Genomic DNA, 22,891 nt, shown 5'->3' on the forward strand with positions numbered 1-22,891 from the left:
AATTAACAAATAAAAATGGTTTTATTTATCATGTACAACATGAAGTTTTGAAATATGTACCCATTGAACAATGGGTCCATTGAGTTCATTAACATATGCATTACCTCACATAATTACCATTTATTTGTGGTGAGAAAACTTAAGATCTAATCTACCCTTTGAAAAAATTTGTTTTTAAGAGATGGGGTCTCAATGTGTTGCCCAGGCTGGTCTCAACTTCTGGGCTCAAGTGATCTGCCCGCCTCAGCCTCACAAAGTGCTAGGATTACAGGCAAGAGCCACTGCACCCAGCAAGATCTACTCTTCCAGAGATTCTTGAGAATACATCATTAGTTATAGTCACCGAGCTGTGCAAGCCACTGACTGAACTTGTTCCTCCTGTCTCTCTCACTTTGTCTCTTTTGACCAATGACTTCCCATCTCAGCCCCTTCCCAGCCCCTGGTATCCACCATTCTACTCTCTGCTTCTATGAGTTCAACTTTTTTAGATTTCCCATGTAAGTGAGGTCAGACTGTGTTTGTCTATCTGTGCCTGGCTTATTTCTCTCTCTCTTTTTTTGTGTGTGTGAGACAATCGTGCTCTATTGCCCAGGCTGGAGTACAGTGGTGCCATCTCCGCTCACTGCAACCTCAAAAGTTTCTCCTTCATCAACCTCCCGAGTAGCTGGGATTGCACCACACCTGGCTAATTTTTGTATTTTTGGGTACGGATGGGGTTTCACCATGATGGCCAGGCTGGTCATGAACTCGTGACCTCAAGTGATCTATCTGTGTCAGCCTCCCAAAGTGTTGGGATTACAGGTTTGAGTTACCATGCCTGGACCTTATTTCTCTTAATATACTATCCTCCAGGTTGATGCATGTTTTGAAAATGACATTTCCCTCCTTTTACTTGCTGAATAGTACTCCATGGTATATATATCACACATTTTCTTTATCCACTGCCCTCTTGATGGGCATGTAGCTTGATTCTACATCTTGGCTGTTTTGACCTGCTGCAATGAGCAGAGGGTGCAAATTATATACTCATTTGTTTTTTCTTTGGGTGTATGCCCAGTAGTGGGATTGCTGGAGCCTACATTCTATTTTTAGGTTCTCAGGGAAGAAACTGTCTGATTAAAATGGAGTTATGTTCGTGGGTAGCCCCTGGTCTATGGGTGCCCTGGAGAGGAACACTTACTCTTTTTCCTGCTGTGACCACCTCTCCACTCTCAGCTGCACCACCATCCTCAGCCTGAGTGTATCACTGCGTTCTCAGGCAGTTCTCATAGCTGCCTGTGGCACTGCCCCCCATGCCCCTGACTTTCCCCATCAATCCCTCCTCTTCACCAGGAAGAAGGGTTTGTCATTCATAGCCTGGAGCCCCAGGGCCTTACCTTGGTGCTCAGAACCTTCCAGTTTCCTCTCATCCCGTGCTTCTCGTCTGATGATTCCCTGGTCTTCCCCGTGAACCCTCATGCAGCCAGGATGGATGAGCCACCTGCTCCTGCACCTGTCACCATCGCACTTTGCTGTTCTTCTCTCTTTGCTTGGCACCTCTTCATTCGGGGGTCTTTCCTTCTTCTGGAACCACATCCATTCTGTTGAACTCCTTCATCCTCTGTGGACACTGCTGTGCCCTTCACGCTTGGAAAATCCCCAGCACATGGGTTCCTTTTTTTCTTATTAGCTGGCCTTATACACACACATGCATTGGCACACACATGCATTGGCACACACAGTTTATATAATATAAAATATATAAAGATTTATGTACAAATTTATATAATATAAAGGGTATCTATATACACACATTGCATTTTTATACACTTCATATACAAACCAGCATACAAAAAGGTCAAAGGAATATAGATTTATCTGTACATTATATAAATAGATAATTGTGCATTATGTAGATTTATCTATAATTTATATATTTATATATTGATATTTATATATCTGTAAATATATAGTGTACATACTTAGAAATATGTAAATATATTTATATTTAGAAATATAAATAATATATAATATAATACATATATAAGTATAAATATATAGATATATAATATAGGTATATAGATATAGAGTGTGATGCTGGGTGTGGTGGCTCACACCTGTAATCCCAGGACTTCAGGAGACCAAGGCAGAAGGATTGTTTGATCCTGGGAGTTCCAGACCAGTGCGGGCAACAACAGTGAGGCCCCATCTCTACACAGTATACAAAAATTAGCTAGGCATGGTGGTGCATGCCTGTAACCCAGCTACTTGGAAGGCTGAGGCACGAGAATTGCTTGAACTCAGTAGGGGTAGGTTGCAGTGAGACAAGATGGCACCATTGCACTCCAGCCTGGATGACAGAGTGAAACTGCATCTTAAAAAAAAAAAAAAAAAGTAGAATATAGTAAATAGATAAATCAGGGAAACAGTCATTTATTATCATTACCAACTATTAGGTGCTGCAGATAACGTATGTGTTAGACTGTTACATGGCTGGCAGTGCAACAGGAGGGATGCTCTGTCCTGTGGTTACAATGGCCATGATGTCACTAGGGGATAGGAGTTTTTAAGATCATTATAATCTTATGGGAGCACCACTGTATATGACATTCATTGTTGACTGAAGTGTCATTTTGAGGCCCATGACTGTAGACACACACATACACACAATTTTTTTTTTTTTAAGACAAGGTTTTGCTCTGTCACCCAGGCTGGAGTGCAGTTGTGTAATCACAGCTTATTGCAGCCTTGACCTCCTAGACTCAAGTGATCCTCCCACCTCAGCCTCCCAAATAGCTGGGACTACATGCATGCACCACCATGCCTGGCTAATTTTTAATATTTTTTTGTAAAGACCAAGTTTGACTTTGTTGCCCAGGTTAGTCTCAAAGCCCTGGGCTCAAGCATTCCTCCTGCCTTGGCCTCCCAAGATGCTGGAATATAAATGTAAGCCACTGCTCCCACCCCCCACACACTTTATATCATACACACACAGACACACACACACTAATCTGGATACTTATGTGTATTTAAAAGTATGTGTACATATAAATATATGTGTGTATAAATGTGTGTATGTGTATACGTACGTGTATATATATGTATGTGTATATATTGTGTGTATGTATATAAGTATGTGTGTATATAAATATATATTAACGTATATGCATATAAGTATGTGTATATATAAATGTATGTGTGTATATTAACGTGTGTATGCATATAAGTATTTGTATATATAAATATGTGTATATATTAACGTGTGTATGCGTATAAGTATGTGTATATATACATATATATGTATATATTAATGTGTGTATGTATATAAGTATGTGTATATATAAATATATATGTGTGTATATAAATATATGTGTTTATTTATTACTATGTATGCATGTGAGTATACCCAGACACACACATCCTTTAGTATCCAAATTAGAATTTTATCTGATGGATAAAATTTGTTTTATTTTATTCTCTTATTTTATTCACAGCACTCTTATTTATTCTTATTCACAACATTGCTGAAGGTAAAACTCAACAGCTATTGTTTGTTGCCTGACTTAGCTATAGATCAAAAATACCTGTTTTGCAATAAGAAAAGAAAAAATTGTCAAAACAACTGGATGGGAAAACAATAGAAAAAATTCACATTTTTTCCTTTTGAAGATATGGTCGTGGACGTAGTCCTCTTTAAGGATAAGAAATTTAAAACTACAGAAATGCTAACTGATAGACGTGTTAAATTCAGACGTACTGGCTTCTGTTTCATGGAACCTATGTTTATTTCTTCTGCTGTCCCACATTTAATTGATAACAACATCACTACAAGTATAAGAAAAGGAAGCAGAGTGAGGTTTACGGATGAGCACTTGGGAGGGATTTCAGAGGTCGTGATGGCCACAGTGTGAGCCAGCGATGCCTGGTGCTACCCTTGAGCATGAAGCAGGCCGACTTGAACACACCTTGTTAATTGCCAGGCCGTGCAATGTCGTTCCTAAGGTCTCTTAAACTGGACATCCTTGGTTTGAGTTCCCAGTCTTGTTATTTACTTGCTGGGTCCTACGGAGCAAATTAACATCATTCCTTGAACCCTAGTTTCTATGTCTGTAAAATACTGAGTAAGTTTGCCAAGACGAAAACAGGAGACAAACTGAGAAATTACTGGCTGTTCAATTTTATGTCGAGAGATGGAATCGTATTTACCTTTTTCGTCTTTGGTCCGGAATGCAAATGCATTGCACAGGAGCAGAATGACTGGATTTGTTTCTGCGACAAAAAAGGGCAAACAAAACACTAACAGCTTTGCTTGCAGGTTTTCCTGGCAGCTCACCCTCCAGGCACAGTTCTCCAAAATGCAGCAAACTTGGTCTGTTTGTTTCAATACTAAAATAATGTAGAGATTATTTGGGGTATTTTTCTTTCCTGCCCTGTCAAAATTCTGTACACTGACGACACGTGTTGTTTCTTTTGAAGAACGGGGCGAATGATGTGAAACACCATCGGTGGTTCCGCTCCGTGGACTGGAAAGCTGTTCCGCAGAGAAAACTGAAGGTACAACATGTATCAGTGGGTGACTCAGTATGCCCGAGCTCTCTTATGAACAGGGACTGCCTCTGAATCCTGGGACTTCTTTATTGATGACTGAGACGTAATTAATTTATGTAACACAACTCTTTGTCTAAAACCATTCATAAGCCAAGTTACCCACTCTATGAGTGTCTTAGTGCTAATTAGCTCCCACAAAGGGGTGAGGACATGTAATGTTTGTCTTTCCGTGTCTGGCTTATTTTACTTAACAGATGGATCTCAGTTCCATCCATGTTGCTGCAAATAACAAGATTTCATTATTTTTTTTTTATAGCCTAGTAGTATTCTACCATGTCTGTATACCACATTTTTTCTTTCTTGTTTTTTTTTTTTTTTTTTTTTTTTTTTTTAAGAATTGGGTTCTCACTATGTTGCCCAGGCTGATCAGAACTCCTGGTCTCAGGTGATTCTCCCACCTCGGCCTCCCAAAGTGCAGGGATGACAGGCAGGAGCCACCACACCCAGTCATATATCATATGTTCTTTGTCCATTCATCCATGGATGGACACTCGTCCCAGATTTTGAAGCAGATTTTAGAAGACCTGGCCCGATTCCTGACTAGCTCTGTGACTAGTGAATCCCACTCCGTCCTCTAGTGGAAAGTGGTAAGCAGGATTACAGAGATAAGCAAGTGTCTAGCACCATGGTCATTGTTCAGTGATGGTGGTGTTACATGGAGAATATTCTTTGGAACATTTCTGGCCAAACTGCACATCTGGCTTTTTGTCTGGGTGCAGTGGCTCACTCCTATAATTGCAGCACTTTTAGAGGCCAGTTTGGGCAGATCGCTCGAACTCAGGCGTTTAAGACTGGCCTGAGCAATACGGTGAAATCCCATCTCTACAAAAAATACAAAAATTAGCCAGGCGTGGTGGCATATGCTTGTCTTCCCAACTTCTTGGGAGGCTGAGGCATGAGAATTGCTTGATTCCAGGAGGTGGAGGTTGCAGTGAGCTGAGATTGTGCCACTGCCCTGCAGCCTGGGTGACAGAGCTGGATCCCATTTCAAAAAAAAAAAAACCCTGCAATCCGAGCACTTTGGGAGGCCTCAGTGGGCAGATCACGAGGTCAAGAGATCGAGACCATCCTGGCCAACATGGTGAAACCCTGTCTTTACTAAAAATACAAAAATTAACTGGGCATGGTGGTGCATGCTGGTAGTCCCAGCTACTTCAGAGGCTGAGGAAGGAGAATTGCTTGAACCTGGCATGCGGAGATTGCAGTGAGCTGAAATCATGCCACTGCACTCCAGCCTGGTGACAGAGCGAAACTCCATCTCAAAAAAAAAAAAATCTGGCATTTTTATCAATATGTAATACTTGTCCATTTTATAAATGAGTAGACTGCCTCAGAGAAGTTAAGCAGTGTGTTGAAGGTTACATAGGTGCTAAGCGGTGTAACTATCACATGTACATATTTATGGGTGTACATGTTATATTTCAACACACGCATAGAATGTATTGGCCAGGCATACTGGTTTATGCCTGTAATCCCAGCACTTTCGGAGGCTAAGGCTGGTGGATCATGAGGTCAGGAGTTCAAGACCAGCTGGGCCACGATGGTGAAACACCGTGTCTACTAAAAATACAAAAGTTAGCTGAGCATGGTGGCACTTGCCGGTAATCCCAGCTACTCTGGAGGCTGAGGCAGAGAATTCCTTGAATGCAGGCATTAGAAATTGCAGTGAGCCGAGATCGCACCACTGCACTCCAGCCTGGGCGACAGAGCGAGACTCCATCTAAAAAAAAGGAGGAAAAAAAAAAAGAAAAAAAAATGTGTAATGATCAACTAAGGGTAATCAGGGTATCCATCAGCTCAAACATTATCATTTTTATGGGTTGGGAATATTGCAAATCTTCTAGCTATTCTGAAATATACAATATATTGTTGTTAACTCTGGCCACCCAACTATGCTGTCAAACAATAGAACTTACTCCTTTTATCTATCGGAATGTTTGTACCCTTTAGCCAAGAGTTCTTCATTTCCCCTTCATCCCCCACCCACACACCCTTCCCACTCTCTGGTAATCATCATGCTACTGTCAAGCTTCATGAGATCAACATTTTTAGTTTCCACATGTGAGTGGGAATGTGCTTGTATTTCTCATTCTGCATCTGGCTTAGTTTATTTATTATTTATTTTTGTTTTCTGGAACAGCATCTTGCTCTGTTGCCCAGGCTGGAGTGCAGTGGCACGATCTTGCTCACAGAAGCCTCCACCTCCTGGCTTCAAGCAATTCTCATGCCTTAGCCTCTTGAGTAGCTGGGATTACAGATGCCCAGCTAATTTTTGTATTTTTACTAGAGATGGGGTTTCACCATGTTGGCCAGGCTGGTCTCAATCTCCTAACCTCAAGTGATCCATGAGCCTTGGTCTCCCAAAGTGATGGGATTACAGGCATGAGCTGCCACACCCAGCCTGGCTTAGTTTACTTAACATAATGATCTCCCATTCCATTCATGGTGCTGTAAATGACAGGATTTCATTCCATTTTACGGCTGAATAGTTTTTCATTGTGTGTATGGACCACACTTTCTTTATCCATTCATCCATTGGTGGACACTTAGGTTGATTCCATATCTTGGCTTTTGTGAACACTCTGAATTGCATATGTTACTGATGGGAGTGTTCAATGGTAGTGTTTTCACCTTTGCACTTCAGAGTCAAAAGAATGGAGAATGCTTAGAAGTGCTAATTACCTGTCCTCAGCTCAGACCAGAGTCTGGGGCTGGAGCCTGGGATGATACACTTCTTTTTTTTTTTTTTGAAATGGAGTCTCACTTTGTTGCTCAGGCTGGAGTGCAGTGGAGCAATCTCAACTCACTGCAACCCCCATCTCCTGGGTTCAAGCGATTCTTCTGCCTTAGCCTCCCAAGTAGCTGGGATTACAGGTGTGCATCACCACACCCAGCTGATTTTTTTTGTAGTTGTAGAAGAGACGGGGTTTCACTATGTTGGCCAGGCTGGTCTCTAACTCATGACCTCAAATAATCCACTCTCCTTGGCCTCCCAAAGTATTGAGATTACAAGCGTGAACCACCGGGACTGGGCTGATGCACATCATTTTGTTCACAAAGTTTTACCTTTTCAGATACTTTATTGTATTAAATTGCATTAAAAAAACAGTTTGAATACATTTTATCTATCCACATTGGTCAAAAACCAAGTCAATATTAAAACAGATATATTGCCAAGTCTCCCTTTTACCCCCTCCAAGCCACCTGTAGGTAATCATCTTTTATTAAATTTTTCTGTGTATCCTTCTAGAGTTTCTTTGTGCTAATAAAAACCCACATGGATACATGCATTCTTATTTTTGCCACTCATTTATACAAATCTAGAGTAGCATAGTATGTACATGATTATAGTCTTGCTTTTTGCACTTGACTGTATAATTTGGACCTGTCTACATACCTGGCTAGCTTCCTTTTTTTTTTTTTAAGACAAAGTCTCACTCCGTTGCCCAGGCTGGAGTTCAGTGGTGCGATCTCGGCTCACTGCAACCTCCACCTCCCAGGTTGAAGCGATTCTCCTGCCTCAGCCTCCCGAGTAGCCAGGATTACAGGCACCCACCACTATGCCTGGCTAATTTTTGTATTCTCGGTAGAGACAGGGTTTCGAGATGTTGGCCGGGCTGGACTTGAACTCCTGACCTCAGGCGATCCGCCCACCTTGGCCTCCCATAGTGCTGGGATTACAGGCATGAGCCCCTGCACCCAGCCAGCTTCCTCATTTTAAAAATACTGCATTGTATTCCATCACATGACTGTACCATAGCTTACTTAATACTATATATGTATATATTTTGAGACAGGATCTCACTCTGTCTTTCAGGCTGGAATGCAGTGGTGCAATCATGGCTCACTTGGAGTATCGACCTCCTGAGCTCAAGCAGTCTTCCCACCTCAGCCTACTGAGTAGTTGAGACTGCAGGCACACAGCACCACACCCAGCTAATTGTTTGTATTTTTTGTAGAGACAGGGGACTCCCTGTGTTCCCCAGGCTGGTCTCAAACTTCTGAGGCTCAAGCGACCCTCCTGCCTCAGCTTCTTAAAGTGTTGGGATTACAGGTGTGAGTCCCCACACGCAGCCTCATTCACAATATTTTAATTCCAAGATTGCTTCATTCATAAATGAAGGGAAGACAGCTTTAGTGTTTTGCAAATCATTTTCATTTTTAGGTACAGTGACAGAAGTAAAGGGGTATATGCAGCGTCCAAGCGTCCTGTTCCTTTCTAACCATGCCTTCATGCTTCGGCCATGTCTTATAGCCTCCCATCGTGCCCACGATAGCTGGCAACGGCGACACTTCCAACTTCGAAACTTACCCTGAGCATGACTGGGACACAGCCGCGCCCGTGCCGCAGAAGGATTTAGAAATCTTCAAGAATTTCTGAGGACGAGCTCACATCTGGAAGGTATATCTTTATATTTAGTAATTACCAGAAAATGAGACTGGCTGGACCCCACATCCAGGTGAGGCTGTGTTTACTGAGTGGGGCTTAACCTCATGCACACAGAGGTCAGCAGTGAAGCAGAGCAAAGGGGATTGATTGCAAGGGTCAGCGAAATAAACACAGCCATGCCTGTGACTCCAGGTCAGCATGTGACCGTCAGAGGCATCAGCATGACAGTCCAGAATCCATGTTCTGGACATGCATCAGAACCTGCATGTCTAAATAAGACCGCTAGGTGGTTTGTGTGTGCCTGAATATTTGAGAAGCCCAGCTCCTCTGGTCCCTGTTCCAGAAACCCTGAGTGACAGGCGAGCTTCCTTAGAATAATTAACAAGTATTTTCAAAAGTCTCTTTAGGTCTCCTTTGGTTAAAAAATAGTAAGAAGAAATGTACTCTCATAGGAAATTTGCTAAGCTTAATTGAAGATGACTGGAAAAGGATTTTGAATCTATTACTTCTTTGAGGCTTTGAAGGTCTATTATTTTTTAAATAATAATAATATTTTTTAAGAATCCCTCATGAAATTTGCTAAGCTTTAATTTAAGATGACTGAAAAAGGGTTTTGACTGTGTTATTTCCTTGGGCCTTTGAAAATCTATTATTAGTTTTTAAGTATGGATTAAAAAGAGCTTCCAGTTACTCCTCAATTCTAAACTGCTTGTATGTCTTTAACTAGATCTTTCTTCCTGTAACATACAAGCAAGAAAAATACCAGTGAAGCAAAATATTGTCAGTGATGTGTCTATTCATTGACATAGCTTGTTTTTCCCATTTTGATTTCCATTCCCGTAATTTTCCTGTAGTCTTCCCAGTTATGTGAAGTGGAAAGCCAATTGGCTAACCAACACCATTTGAAACAGACACCAAATGTCACAATTGCTGACTGGGGAGAGGAACCAACCTGCTGAAAGATGTGGTGAATGAGAGCCCTCCGTCCTGGGCAGGTGTTTACATGGATGTACCAAGAGGAAAGCTGGATACAAATTGAAATAATAGACAAAAAAATGATAGAGGAATAGGTGGCTATGACCTTGAGAAGATAACCTGTCTCCATGGCATGGCTTCACCTCTCAGTGTGTGATGAACGCTTTTACAGTGGTGACTGGTTTGTATTAACATGAGAGCGTGTAACTTTACCAACTTCATAAATGCTCATGAAATCCATTTATGGGTTTTAAAAATCATAAGATGTTCCTGAATTATTTTCTTCTTTTTGTTTCTCTGCTCTACTCTGGGGCTTACATTTTAGCTGACTCGCCCATAACATCTTACAAATTGTGTCTCTCCAGGAAATCTTTAAAATGATGTAAAGACTGGTTTGCTTTAGTATGAAGGACCCCTAGTTGATAAACCATATATTTCCTCTAATAGAGACCCCTTCAAGTATAAAATTTACTTAAAGAACAAAAAAGCTTCCACTTGATGGATTTTTGTCTCATAATCAGTGAATAGTTTCATCACATACTGTCCACAGCTGCGCCTACTGTCCCTGAAAAAGATTTCACACATAGGTCTAGCCTTTCTCAGTCTGGTATGTATTCTTGAGAAAGCATGTGTAAGTATTATTTTTGCTAAGTGGAATTATTTTTATTTATTTGTTTATTTTTTTGAGACAGAGTCTCACTCTGTTGCTAGGCTGGAGTGCAGTGGCATGATCCCGGCTTACTGCAACTTCCGCCTCCTGGGTTTAAGTGATTCTCCTGCTTCAGCCTCCCTAGTAGCTGGGACTACAGGTGCATGCGACAACATCCAGCCAATTTTTGTACTTTTAATAGAGATGTGGTTTTACCATGTTGGTCAGGCTGGTCTCGATCCCTTTACCTCATGATGTGCCCACCTTGGCCTCCCAAAGTGCTGGGATTACAGGCGCGAGCCACTGTGCCCGGCTGGAATCATTTTTAATATAGTTTGGCTAGTGGTCAGGGCTCTGTTTAATGAATTTTATTTTATTTATTTATTTATTTATTTATTTTGAGACAAAGTCATGCTCTGTTGCCCAGGCTGGAGTGCGGTGGCACTATCTTGGCTCACTGCAACCTCTGCCTCCTGGGTTCAAGTAATTCTCCTGCCTCAGCCTCCTGAGTAGCTGGGTTTACAGGTGCATGCCACCACACTAGGCTAAGTTTTTGTATTTTTAGTAGAGGTTTCACCATGTTGGCCAGGCTGGTGTCAAACTACTGAGCTCAGGTAATCCACCCGCCTTGGCCTCCAAAAGTGCTGGGATTACAGGTGTGATCCACTGCTCCCAGCCCATATGCAATATTTTAATCTATCTCAGTAATTTTATCGAAAGTAATTTGTACACCAAACACATCTCTGGCATTTTCAGTGAAGAGAGATTAGGTTCAGGAATTTTATGCAGGAAGATATTTCTTCATGAAACCAAATCTTCTCCTGTGAATAAGACACCAGTTCAGATGAATCACTGCACTTGAAGGCAGCTTAGAAACTGTGCTTTAGGCCGGGCGTGGTGGCTCACACCTGTAATTCCAGCACTTTGGGAAGCCGAGGTGGGCAGATCACGAGGTCAGGAGATTGAGACCTCCCTGGCCAACGTGGTGAAACCCCATCTCTACTAAAATACAAAAAATTAGCTGGGCATGGTGGCACACGCCTGTAGTCTCAGTTACTCAGGAGGCTGAGGCAGGACAATCACTGGAACCCAGGAGGCAGAGGTTGCAGTGAGCTGAGATCACGTCACTGCACTCCAGACTGGCGACAGAGTGAGACTCCTCAAAAAACAAAACAAAAAAAACCACACTATGCTTTAGCTGTTCATCTTTGTTTGAATCACCCTGCATGACTTTCTGAATGTGGAGGAGGAATTTAGGAGAACTGACTCATTATGTCTTTTATTTTACTTTGTAATAAAATATTTTCTGTCTTGCTGTAAGGTTCTCTGAGGAAGCATATTGAATTAGGGATCCCATTTTTCTTGTGTAGTTCATCTATCGGTGGATAAATTTATCTATTTATAGATAAGCATGTGATAGGACATTCTCTAGACTGGGTGTGGTGGCTCCTACCTGTAATACTGGCAGTTTGGGAGGCCAAGGTGGGAGGCTCATTTGAGGTCAGGAGTTTGAGATCAAGCCTGGGCAACATAGTGAGACCCCATCTCTACAAAAAATAAAAAAGCCAGGCGTGGTGATACATACCTGTTGTCCCAGCTATTCTAGAGGCTGAGGTGGGAGGCTCGCTTGGGCCAGGAAAGTTGAAGCTGCAGTGAGCTGTGATTGTGCCTGTACTCTGGCCTGGGTAGCAGAGTTAGACTTATCTCAAAAATGAAAACAGGGCTGGGCACAGTGGCTCACACCTGTAATCCCAGCACCTTGGGAGGCGGAGGTGGGCACATTATCTGAGGTCAGGAGTTGGAGCTGAGCCTGGCCAATATGGTGAAACCCTGTCTCTACAAAAAATACAAAAATTAGCCAGGCGTGGTGGCGGGCACCTGTAACCCCAGCTACTCAGGAGGCTGAGGTAGCAGAATCACTTGAAGTTGGAGGCGGAGGTTGCAGTGAGCTGAGATCGCACCATTGTACTCCGTCTCAAACAAACCAACCAAAAAAACCCCTTACCTTTAAAACATTCTTCATTTCCTTTTTATTGGCCTCTCCTTTTAGAATTCACGCTTATGGATCCTTGCAAAAAGAATTACAAAGGGAAGTTTTCTTTGTTATCACTTAGGAAAAGGAAACCTTTGTATTATCATTGAGATGATGATTACAAAATTCATCCAGTTACTGAGCAACTCATAAAATCTTTCATCCTATTTCATGCTAGAAACAGGAAGATTGGAATCTGCCTGGAACAAAGAACTGCACCTAAGCAGACCAGAAGCAAAATGTCTTCTTCACGGCCTGAGGACATTTCCAGTTTTCTCTGTACCTGTGTGTATAGAAATAGATCAGAGCACAGTTGAAATTCATGGAACTGGCATTATTTAAGCAACCAGAATTCCACACTGTAGGAAGGTTTTGAAAATTGTTTCGTTATAGATTTTATCTTATCTTTTGGTGTTGTCTTGGTTTTTCTCATAGACTTTATAAGTTTGAACTGGACTTATTTGATTATAACCACAAATTGTGTGTGTGTGTGTGTGTGTATATATAGAAGTCATTATGGCAGATGCACAAATTGTGCAGTGATGTAAATATACATACTTCACAGAGCCTATTATTTTTATTTTTCAATTCAGTTTCTCAAATTATCTTCCCTTCTCTTGGGGACAACATCTGAAGGGTATGTTGCATGCATTTTTAAAAAAATCATCTCATATGCATTGTATAGTTTGGGGGAATAAGATATCCGGGGGCCGGGGGTGTCTACATTCAGTATCTTTAGTTCTTCCTACCTAGTAACTTGAGACTTTAAAAGAAGAAACATGGAGAAGATGTGGGAGCGAATTTATTGCAGGAATCCACAATGACTTTGAAGTTGTTGGAGCAATGCATTGTATTCAGAAAACCTGTGTCACATTAAAAAATTTCATCTAGGCTAGGTGCAGTGGCTTGTTCCTGTAGTCCCAGCACTCTGGGAACCTGGGTTGGGAGGATTGCTTAAGGCCAGGAGTTTGAGACCAGCTTGGGCAACATAGTGAAACCCTGTCTGTATGGAATTTACACAAATTATAAAAATTAGTCGGGTGTCATTGTGCATACCTGTAGTCCCAGCTATTCAGGAGCTGTGGTAGGAGGATGGCTTGAGCTCAAGAGGTTGAGGCTGCAGTGAGCCCTGATTGTGCCAGTGCACTCCAGCCTGGACGACAGAGCAAGACCCTGTATTAAAAAAAAAATTCATCCTGCACAGGGAAATGGCTACCTATTAAAGTCCCAGTTGAAATTTTTTGAAAAAATACACCTCCCACAGTTCACAAATAACTTTTAAGATCAGCTCATCTATAAGGCTGACCTTCATGCAGAGATTTTATTTCACCTTTAGTTTTGGGAAAAGCGAGAAACAGATGATCTATAGGATGTGAGTGGGTGGCAGAGTCAAAAGGAACCTCACCTGTTCCTAATTTCTCCTTTTAAATATTCATGTTGAGTGTGCCTAATACTCTCCTCGACAAGTCATGCTGTTTTATGCAGAATAATCCAGGCGTGAGAGTGTTCTCTTGGGAAATGACTGGGGAGACACCTGAAAGGAGCAACCTCCAGATGTTCTTCCCTGGGTGTTGATGTCATGACAGCCATACAGTGAGTTTGTTCTGAAACATCTCTTGCTAAATGTGGGTCATGCTAGACACAGCATAAACTGAGGGTGTGGGTTCTGGCTTTGTACATAACTCATTTTCTCCCTTGCTTTTTCTCTGGACCATCCTGGCTGGAAACTTGGCTGTAGACATCTGAAGAGGGTGCACCTTTTCTCTTTACTGTGACTCACCTCAAATATGGCATTGCTCAAATCTGCTGTGTATGAGGTCACAGGGCCCAGCTGTGGCAGGGGTGAGTGCATTGAAGAAGTAGGTTTTGGAGCCTTCCAGGAATTCCTTGTTGACAACAGGGGTACACTCACACAGACCTCCAAGACTTTCTTCTCCACCTCTTCTTTTTCTCATGCCCTGCCTTCATCTGTCTCCTTCTGCACCCAGAGTAGGGGTGGAGTATACCCTTGCCATGTGTTAGTGAAAATGTGTGCAGTGAGAAGCCAGTTGGGTCCCCTCGGCTCCTAATCTCTTCTCAAAACTCAGTAGCTCAGGTTCTCTGGAGCCATCCGGTGCATTCCTTGCTATTGGAGCTGTTTTTCCAAGCAATATCTGGGAAGAGATTTCTCCCTCTAGCACTTGCTACCTCTCTTCTGCACACATATCACACATCAGTACTGTGGAGAGTTTCTGTTAGGAAAAGCCATACATTTTTAAAAATGTAGCAAAATGTCAAGGGAAATGTAATCAGATTTGGCCAGAGTTCGCCTACAGATAAGAAGGCACTGGGCCAGGCTCACACCTGTAATCCTAAGTAACACTTTGGGAGGCTGGGGCGAGAGGATTGCTTGAGCCCAGGAGTTCAATACCTGTCTGGGAAACACCTCATCTCTACAAAATACAAAAAAGTTAACTGGGCATGGTGGAGCATGCCTGTAGTCTCAGCTACTCAGGAGGCTGAGATGAGAGGATCACTTGAGCCTGAGGAGGTCCAGGCCACAGTGATCTGAGATCACACCATTGCCCTCCAGCCTGGGTGACAGAGTGAGACCCTGTTCCAAAAAAAAAAAAAAACCCAAAAAACCTCAATGGCTTTTTGCTTTTGAAGGTGGTATGAAGAGAACGTCCACTTTAAGGCTTTAAAAGACAGTGAAGCTGGTTGTAGGGCTCACTTTTATAATCCTAGGATTTGGGGAAGCTGAAGCAGAAAGATTGCTTGAGCCTGGGAGTTTGAGACTGGCCTGGGCAGCATAGCGAGACCCCATCTCTATATAAAAAAAAAGATGTTAAAACAGTGAAATTACAGAAACAGAACATAGCCACCCTGTTTCATCAGTGACCTTTTCTTCACGTGACGGTCAACTCAGTAGGTGAGAATAATTAGTAGGTTCAGCAGAATAAACTCTTTACAATTAATAACTCAGTGGAAAATGATGTTCAGATGGTGAAATGTGGAAATGTTTTAGACAACTCTATTTTCAGCCTGTGCTTCTCACTCACCATCCTGTTGGGATTAACAGTTGAGGGCCATCGCTGCCTAAACATTTAGCGTGCGGTTTCCCATCAGTTTTACTGTGAATGTGAAAAGGTGAAACTGTTGCTGACTTCGGCAGCAGGTATACTAAAATTGGAATGACACAGAGGAGATTAGCATGGCCCCCTGCGCGAGGAAGATCCGCAGATTCATGCAGCATTCCATATTTTTTTAAAAAAAGGTTACACTGTGCACCGACGTGGAGCTAGAAGGAAAAGCATGAAGTCTCATGTTTGCTGACTATAAAAATAAATCATAGTAATAATATTATTGAACATTCTACTTTAAAAATTATTAATAAAACCATAAATGAAACACTTGAGCACACTTTAAAAAGTACATAAACCCATGAGTCCATATGTGTAATTTTATGTTGTCTGTTTTATTATCCAGGATTTCATACTCAGATGAGCATTAGCATCAGGAAAGCCTGAAATGCCTTAATTGTGAACTGATACGCAGGAAAATGAAATATGTAAGCACATTGGTGACCTTGTTCTTTACAGACATCATGATCAGCCTCCAGCCATACAGAACAAATGAGAAATTAGAAGCAATTCCAAGAACGTGTGATGGTGTGAAACCCACTTTTGACCGTCACACACATTTCAGCATTTGAAGAGACACAGGCTACCTGGAAACTGCCCATGGCGGGGTCATAATTTAAATGTCCCAATGTCATATAGAGGTTAATTTAATCAAAATGAGCTAAAACATGGAACAATCACTGAATAATTTAAAAAGAGTTTACCTGGCAGAGTGTGTCATGCCTGCAATCCCAGCACTTTGGGAGGCCAAGGCAGGCAGATCACCTGAGGTCAGGAGTTTGAGACCAGCCTGGCCAACATGATGAAACCCTTGTCTCTATTAAAAACACAAAAATTAGCCAGATGTGGTGGCACATGCCTGTAATCCCAGTTAGTCGGGAGGCTGAGGCAGGAGAATATGGAACTCAGGAGGCGGAGGCTGCAGTCAACCAAGATTGCGCCACTGCACTCCAGCCAGGGCGAAGGAGTGAGACTCCCATCTCAAAAAATAAAAAAAAAAATAAATAAAAATAGTTGACCCGGGTGGGCATTCCAAAATGTTCCCATAGATGATCGTGAAACAATCACTGTGCAAAATGTAGAGGAAAATTCTTACGATAATCACAAAATTTGTATCAGAAAAACATTACAAATTTACTTTGCTCCATGTAATTTTATGAATTGGCAGTATTTTCTTAAATTGGGATACAGTAAGAGAATATCTTTAGGAAATGGAAATGTTAAAACAAGAAGTAACAAGAGGTTGTTTTTCTGAAGGGAAATGCCACCGGCCTGCTTTCATAGGCATTGATAAAGCCAGGAAGGAAATAAAGTCACAACCGAATAGTATACACTGTATCTACTGAATTCTTCTAATTCCTTCACAACAGAAGTCTAAATCCTGCTTAGCCTAAACATATCTATAGCCAGCGATGGGCAAATTATATTTGCTGTCAGCATGATGGAATAAGAAACAGAAACCCCCCAGCAGTGGGGTAAGATTGCACGCTTCATCCCCTCAAAATGCAGTTCAGCCCCACTCCCTCTCCATGCCCATCAAACAACTGCAAAATCACTTGTTACTGAATTTCTCATTCAGCGTTTTGTTTCTTTCTGTCCATACTTAAAGACCAAATTATTTGTTTGCTTTGAAGAAAAAGCAAAAGCAACAAAAACACCAAATCATTTGAAATCACTACCCATTAAAAAAAATCACCAGTGGAACTAAACAGTTGAGTGGTTTGGGATGTGTTGTTCGCCATTTCTGTGTTTGACCTACATGGTCTCTAGTTCTTTGGACAATTGTAACTGTGAAACTATGGCTTAACACTGTTAAAGACTCCAAGGCTCCACTCTGTAGCCAGGTGCAACTCAGGCTGCACAAATACCCCACCAGAATGTCACAATCATTCATTGCTCCAGCTGCTGAGTGAACAGAGTGCAAGACAGCACTGGCTTGGGTTTTATTTTTGCAGCCAGTTAACTTTGCATCAGGTCTACACAGTCCTTGCAGCCTTTGATTTCTCCAGTTGTACAGATTTGAAATGGGGTGCCCGGGTTCCTCTCGTTTTTCCTTCAATCTACCTAGCATGCATTTTACACACATTGGAGGAGTCGTATGCACTGTTTTTCTCTTGCTGATGGAGGCAAGAACGCCTTCTAATTAGTATAACTTAAATGGACGGGATTCACTTAAAAGCAAGAAGAAAAGCACATGAACAGGTGTCTTAATGCATTTGGATACTTTGGGGTGTGTGCCTGTCTGTGTGTGTGTCTTGGTGAAGGTGGGCTGTATTTTCACCAAGCCTTTTCATAATCAAGTTTGCTTTGCAAACCATCTGGCCTTGCCCCCAGCAGTACAGTCCTTCCTAATAACGGGGATGCTCTGTCATGTTTCTCTGTAAATTGTTGTGTGTTGGGAAGTTCTGTTGAGGCTTAGTTTGATCTTCCATGGTGGACATGTCTGTTCTGTATATAAAAAGCATTACATCTGTGTTTTAGCAGGTGGGATTTGAAGCTTTTCCACAGTCCTTGTGCTCTGAGATGGCTGTTGAGCTCTGCTCAGCTGTCACAGCTGAATTCTTTTTTTGTGCTGAACACTGGGCAGCCTCACCTTGTTGCCAACGTGCTTCTGGGGCCCCTGTGACTGCTGCCGGATGCTGTGCACACAGGCAGAGTGCCTTGGCAGGTTTGTGCACCCCTTGGCGAGCCAGAACTGGGAACCCCGCGGAGTGACCCCACCTTCTCATGGGGGGTCAGGGAGGGGAGTGCCTATTTTTAATCTTGTTTGTTGCGCAATGGAAATCACTGTGATTTGTACATATGCCCTAGGAAAATTTTACCGCTGTCTAATTTATGTAATAATACTGATGATTCTAGGTTTGTTTAATAAAACTTTATATCTTTTCAGAAGTCTGAGTTTTGTCGCTTCTGTTTCCAAACAAGCTGTGACTTTTCTCCTTTGGTCTAATCCAGGGATGGGCAATTATCTGTAGGGACCACATGGCAGATATTCCGCATTGCAGGATACACAGTCTCTGCTGCACAGGGTGCAAAAAAGCTGCTATAATTAGGCACGGAGGTGCATGCCTATAAGTGCAGTGCTTTCGGGGGCCAAGGCAGGAGGATTGCTTAAGCCCAGGCGTTTGAGACCAGCCTGGACAATGTAGTCCCATTGAGTGACTTGGGACCCACCTTCAGCGATGACTCCTTCAGGGTTCACAGAACATTTTAACCATTTGCCTATATCTTGATCCTATACCTTTATTTTCTTACTCTTCACCTGATTTGGCTATTCCCTAACATTTTCTGTCCCTTTATCTTCACCGAAGTTTAGCTTAGCTTTCTGCCTTTAAATGTGTTCTTTAAGTAATGACAGATCATCCTTATTCTAGGCTGCAAAGATTGTAGTAAATATACTCTTTCTAGACAGGCAGAATAAATTTTGATGGCTCATTTTTAAAAAATTTATATCTTTTTGAGGGGTTTGGTTAGCTTTTCAAATTTGAATTAGTCAATATTTTAAATGGCTTAATTATTTTTAAAATTTTTTAATATTGTAATATGTAAATATTGTCATGTTTCGTATTGTAAATGTTACAGCATTTGTGACAATGAAAATAAGTCTTAAAACATATCCCAGAAATAAAACCACTTCATCATGTATAGAGTTCTCTATCAGTATCTACTTTGGTAATTGTTATATGGGCTTCACAGTTCTATTACAATTTATAAAACTTGAGCTAGGCAACCTAGTGAGAGCCTGTCTCTACAAAAAAAATGAAAAAATTAGCTGGATGTTGTGGTGCATGCCTGTAGTCCTAACTACTCAGGAGGCTGAGGTAAGAAAATTGCTTGAGCCCAGGAGGGGTGTGTGTGTGTGTGTGTGTGTGTGTGTGTGTGTGTGTAGATAGGTAGATGACAGGTAGATAGATATAGATGAATAGATAGACGTTAGATAATAGGTTGACAGGGATAGATGATAGACAATAGGTTTATAGGGATGGATGATAGATGGTTAGATAGGTTGAACGATAGAATTTGTCATGCAAAAGCCAAGGGTTTCTCTAACTGAGCACTGCTGACATCTGAGGTTGGGTGATTCTTGGTCGTTGGTGCCATTCTATGCATTATAGGATGCTGATAGACATCTTTGGCCTCTACTCCCTAGATACCAGTATCCCCCTTGGCCCCCACTCCTGTGATGACAACTAAAAATGTCTCCAGACATTGCCAAAAGCCCCTGGGAGGTAAAATCTCCCCTGGTTGAAAACCACTACTTAGAAAAATAAGATTGGGGACCATTTGGGAGCCATCAACTGAGAGCAAAACAAAGAACCAGAACTTGAATGGTGATCTTCCTTTAAGCTTTCACAACAAGAAATAGAAAAGAGGTATAAAGATCTCTTGCAGTGGGCATTTGAAGGATATTTTTTTCTGATGTGTTGCCTTTCCTTTCTCTGAATTCATCTCAGGATTTTAGTCAATGTCGCCAAGTCAACATTTGATCTTTTGCCAAACAGGAAATATTTCTATGAACAGCGTAGTGAATTGTAAGTAAGAGCCTCGGGTGCCTGAAAGTGCCTTGAGTCATGAGTCAGAGACGTGGGTCAGGCTCTGCTTCTCACTGGGGCCATCGTGTTGGGCATGTTTCTTAAGCTGTTCTCCGTATTAATGGATCCATCTTCAAATAGGGGCAGTAATTATTGCTGTGGGCTCCCTTTCTGATCAGAAACCTCCAATAGCTCTCTGTTGCACTCAGAAGACAAAATAACATTATAACAACAGTGTAGGAGCATCTCCATTATCCGCTGTCAATAATGTCCCAGAGTCTCTCTCCAGGGCATCCACTGCCAATGCCTGGACTCTGCTGATTTAGAACACATCCCAAAAGCTCCTGCCATGGGGCCTTTGCTCTGGCCCTTTTCTTCTAGATACCAGCATAGCGTTCACCTTCACCATCTTCAACTCTTTGCTCAAATATCTTCTCAATTCCTCCAGCACTTTATTTAAAATTTTAACTTGTTTCCAACACTGTCTACCACTTTCCCAAAGTTATTTATTTTTTCTCTCCATCACTGAGCACTTTCTACTGGTTTGTACCCTTTTCTTACTTACTTTGTTTATTGTCTTCCTCATCCCACTAGAATGCAAACTCCAGGCAGGCAAGGAATTTGGTCTTTGGTTGGGTTTGTTGAAACCCTGGCACCTAGAACAGTATCTGATAACGTAGGTGTTGCATTCCTCATGTGAAACTGTATTAGTGATGATTCTCCTCCATCATGCTGTATTTTCATTTGCAGTCATGGTATGACATTATGAATAAGGTTCATTGTAATTTATCTAGTTGCCTAAGAAAAAGAGAATTAAATGGTTTGCCACTTTTATGTTACAAACAATACTACATAAAATAATCAGGGCTGGGCACCATGGCTCATGCCTGTAATCCCAGAACGTTGGGAGCCTGAGGCAGGTGGATCACCTGAGGTCAGGAGTTAGAGACCAGCCTGGCCAACATGGCAAAACCCTGTCTGTATACTAAAAATACAAAAATTAGCTGGGCATGGTGGCATGCGCCTGTAGTCCCAGCTACTCTGGAGGCTGAGGCAGGAGAATCACTTGAACCGGGAGGTGGAGGCTGCAGTGAGCTGAGATTGCGCCATTGCACTTCAGCCTGGGCAACAAGAGTGAGATTCCGTCTCAAAAAAAAAAAAAACAAAACAAAAACTAAACAATTGTTATAAACCATCTTTCCCTATTCCTTCAACTTCTGAACTTTGCAACTAATCACATAGTAAAGGGTTTCCATGTCATGTTAGGTTATTAATGCCAAATAAAACTTTCATTAATTTTATTTTTTATGAGTGCCCATTTTGTGTTTTATTTCATAGTCTGTGTGTAACGTGAATATTCGCTAGTAGTTGTGGACCTGCCATATTTAGGTAACATTTGGAAGTAAATTAGTAGATGTGTTGAAGTAGTTTATTGTCTCTTCTGCCAGTTATTTTGAATAATAGATTACAGTGCATTTTATTTCTATATTGAGAATTATTTTTGTTCCTAGGTTTACCCATCTGCTTTGTATTGGTTAAGTGATAGCTGCTCATGGAATATATTTTTTGCTAAAATTTACATTTAGGCTGCTGGAAATCTCCTTTTTTCCAGAACTCTTTAGTACCTCAGAGTTTTTCCTACAGGCATTCCAGACTTTGTCACACATTTACTTTTTGATATATCCCCACTATCACTGGCATTCTCTTGACAACTTAAAAACAAGCCAGTAGCTGGCCAGATGAAAAGAACTCCTTAAATATCAGGCTACCATTGTCCTTTCAAGACTGTAAGGGATTATTAAGTCTCCTGTGTGGTTCAAAAAACAAGACAAAAAAAGAGAACAACATTAAGAAGATGGAAAACTCTGTTATGCCAGACACAGTGGCTCACACCTGTAATCCCAGCACTTCGGCGGGCAAAGGCAGGAGGATCACTTCAGCCCAGGAATTCAAGACCAGCCTGGGCAACATAGCAAGACCCTGTCTCTACAAAAAATTAAAAAAATGAGTTGAGTGTGGTGATGGTGTGCACCTGTGGCTGCAGCTACTTGGGAGACTAAGGTGGGAGGTTTACTTGAGCCCCAGAGGTAGAGACTGCAGTGAGCTATGATTGCACCACTGCACTCCAGTGCAGGTGACAGAGCAAGACCCTGTCTCAAAAAATAAAATAAAATAAAATAAATAAAGAAGAGGAAGAGGCTGCTGTGCTGGTGAGCCATTTCCCCTGGGTAAAATAAAGCCCCAACTTGTAGCCTTTGACAGCTTCTGTGATGTAAATGCTTATTCTTCCCATAATTGATCTCACTGTCTCACTGTATCTGGGGATCCATAGTCGGCAAAAGCTGGTGATTCCAAGGAACCCCTGCATCTGTTTTAATATCTTAGGGTGAGGATAAGCCAGTATAGGCTGTATTCATTCCTTGCTGAGGGCCCTCATCCCTCTAGCTAAGATTAGGCCTAGATATTTGATCTGCTGTAGGCAAAGCTGGGCCTTTGACCTAGATGCCTTGTACCCTTGATTAGCTAGAAAATTCAAGAGCTCTACAGTAGCCTGCTGGCATAAGGCTTCTGAACTGGTAGCCAGAAGTAAATCATCCACATACT

At 41.8% G+C, this 22,891-nt stretch overlaps 2 pseudogenes across 1 annotated transcript in view; both read left to right on the forward strand.

Moving 5' to 3' along the window:
- Positions 1-18,647, forward strand: part of PRKY (protein kinase Y-linked (pseudogene)) — a 107,576-nt pseudogene extending 88,929 nt beyond the window's left edge. Inside the window, exons 6-8 of the transcript NR_028062.1 lie at positions 4,456-4,533; positions 8,843-8,989; positions 12,812-18,647. The product of NR_028062.1 is annotated as a protein kinase Y-linked (pseudogene) (transcript). The remainder of the gene's footprint in view (positions 1-4,455; positions 4,534-8,842; positions 8,990-12,811) is intronic.
- Positions 15,773-15,879, forward strand: RNU6-941P (RNA, U6 small nuclear 941, pseudogene; annotated as a pseudogene).
- Positions 18,648-22,891: the final 4,244 nt, after the last annotated feature.

This window comes from Homo sapiens, chromosome Y (assembly GCF_000001405.40).
Source record: "Homo sapiens chromosome Y, GRCh38.p14 Primary Assembly".
Lineage (NCBI taxonomy): Eukaryota > Metazoa > Chordata > Mammalia > Primates > Hominidae > Homo > Homo sapiens.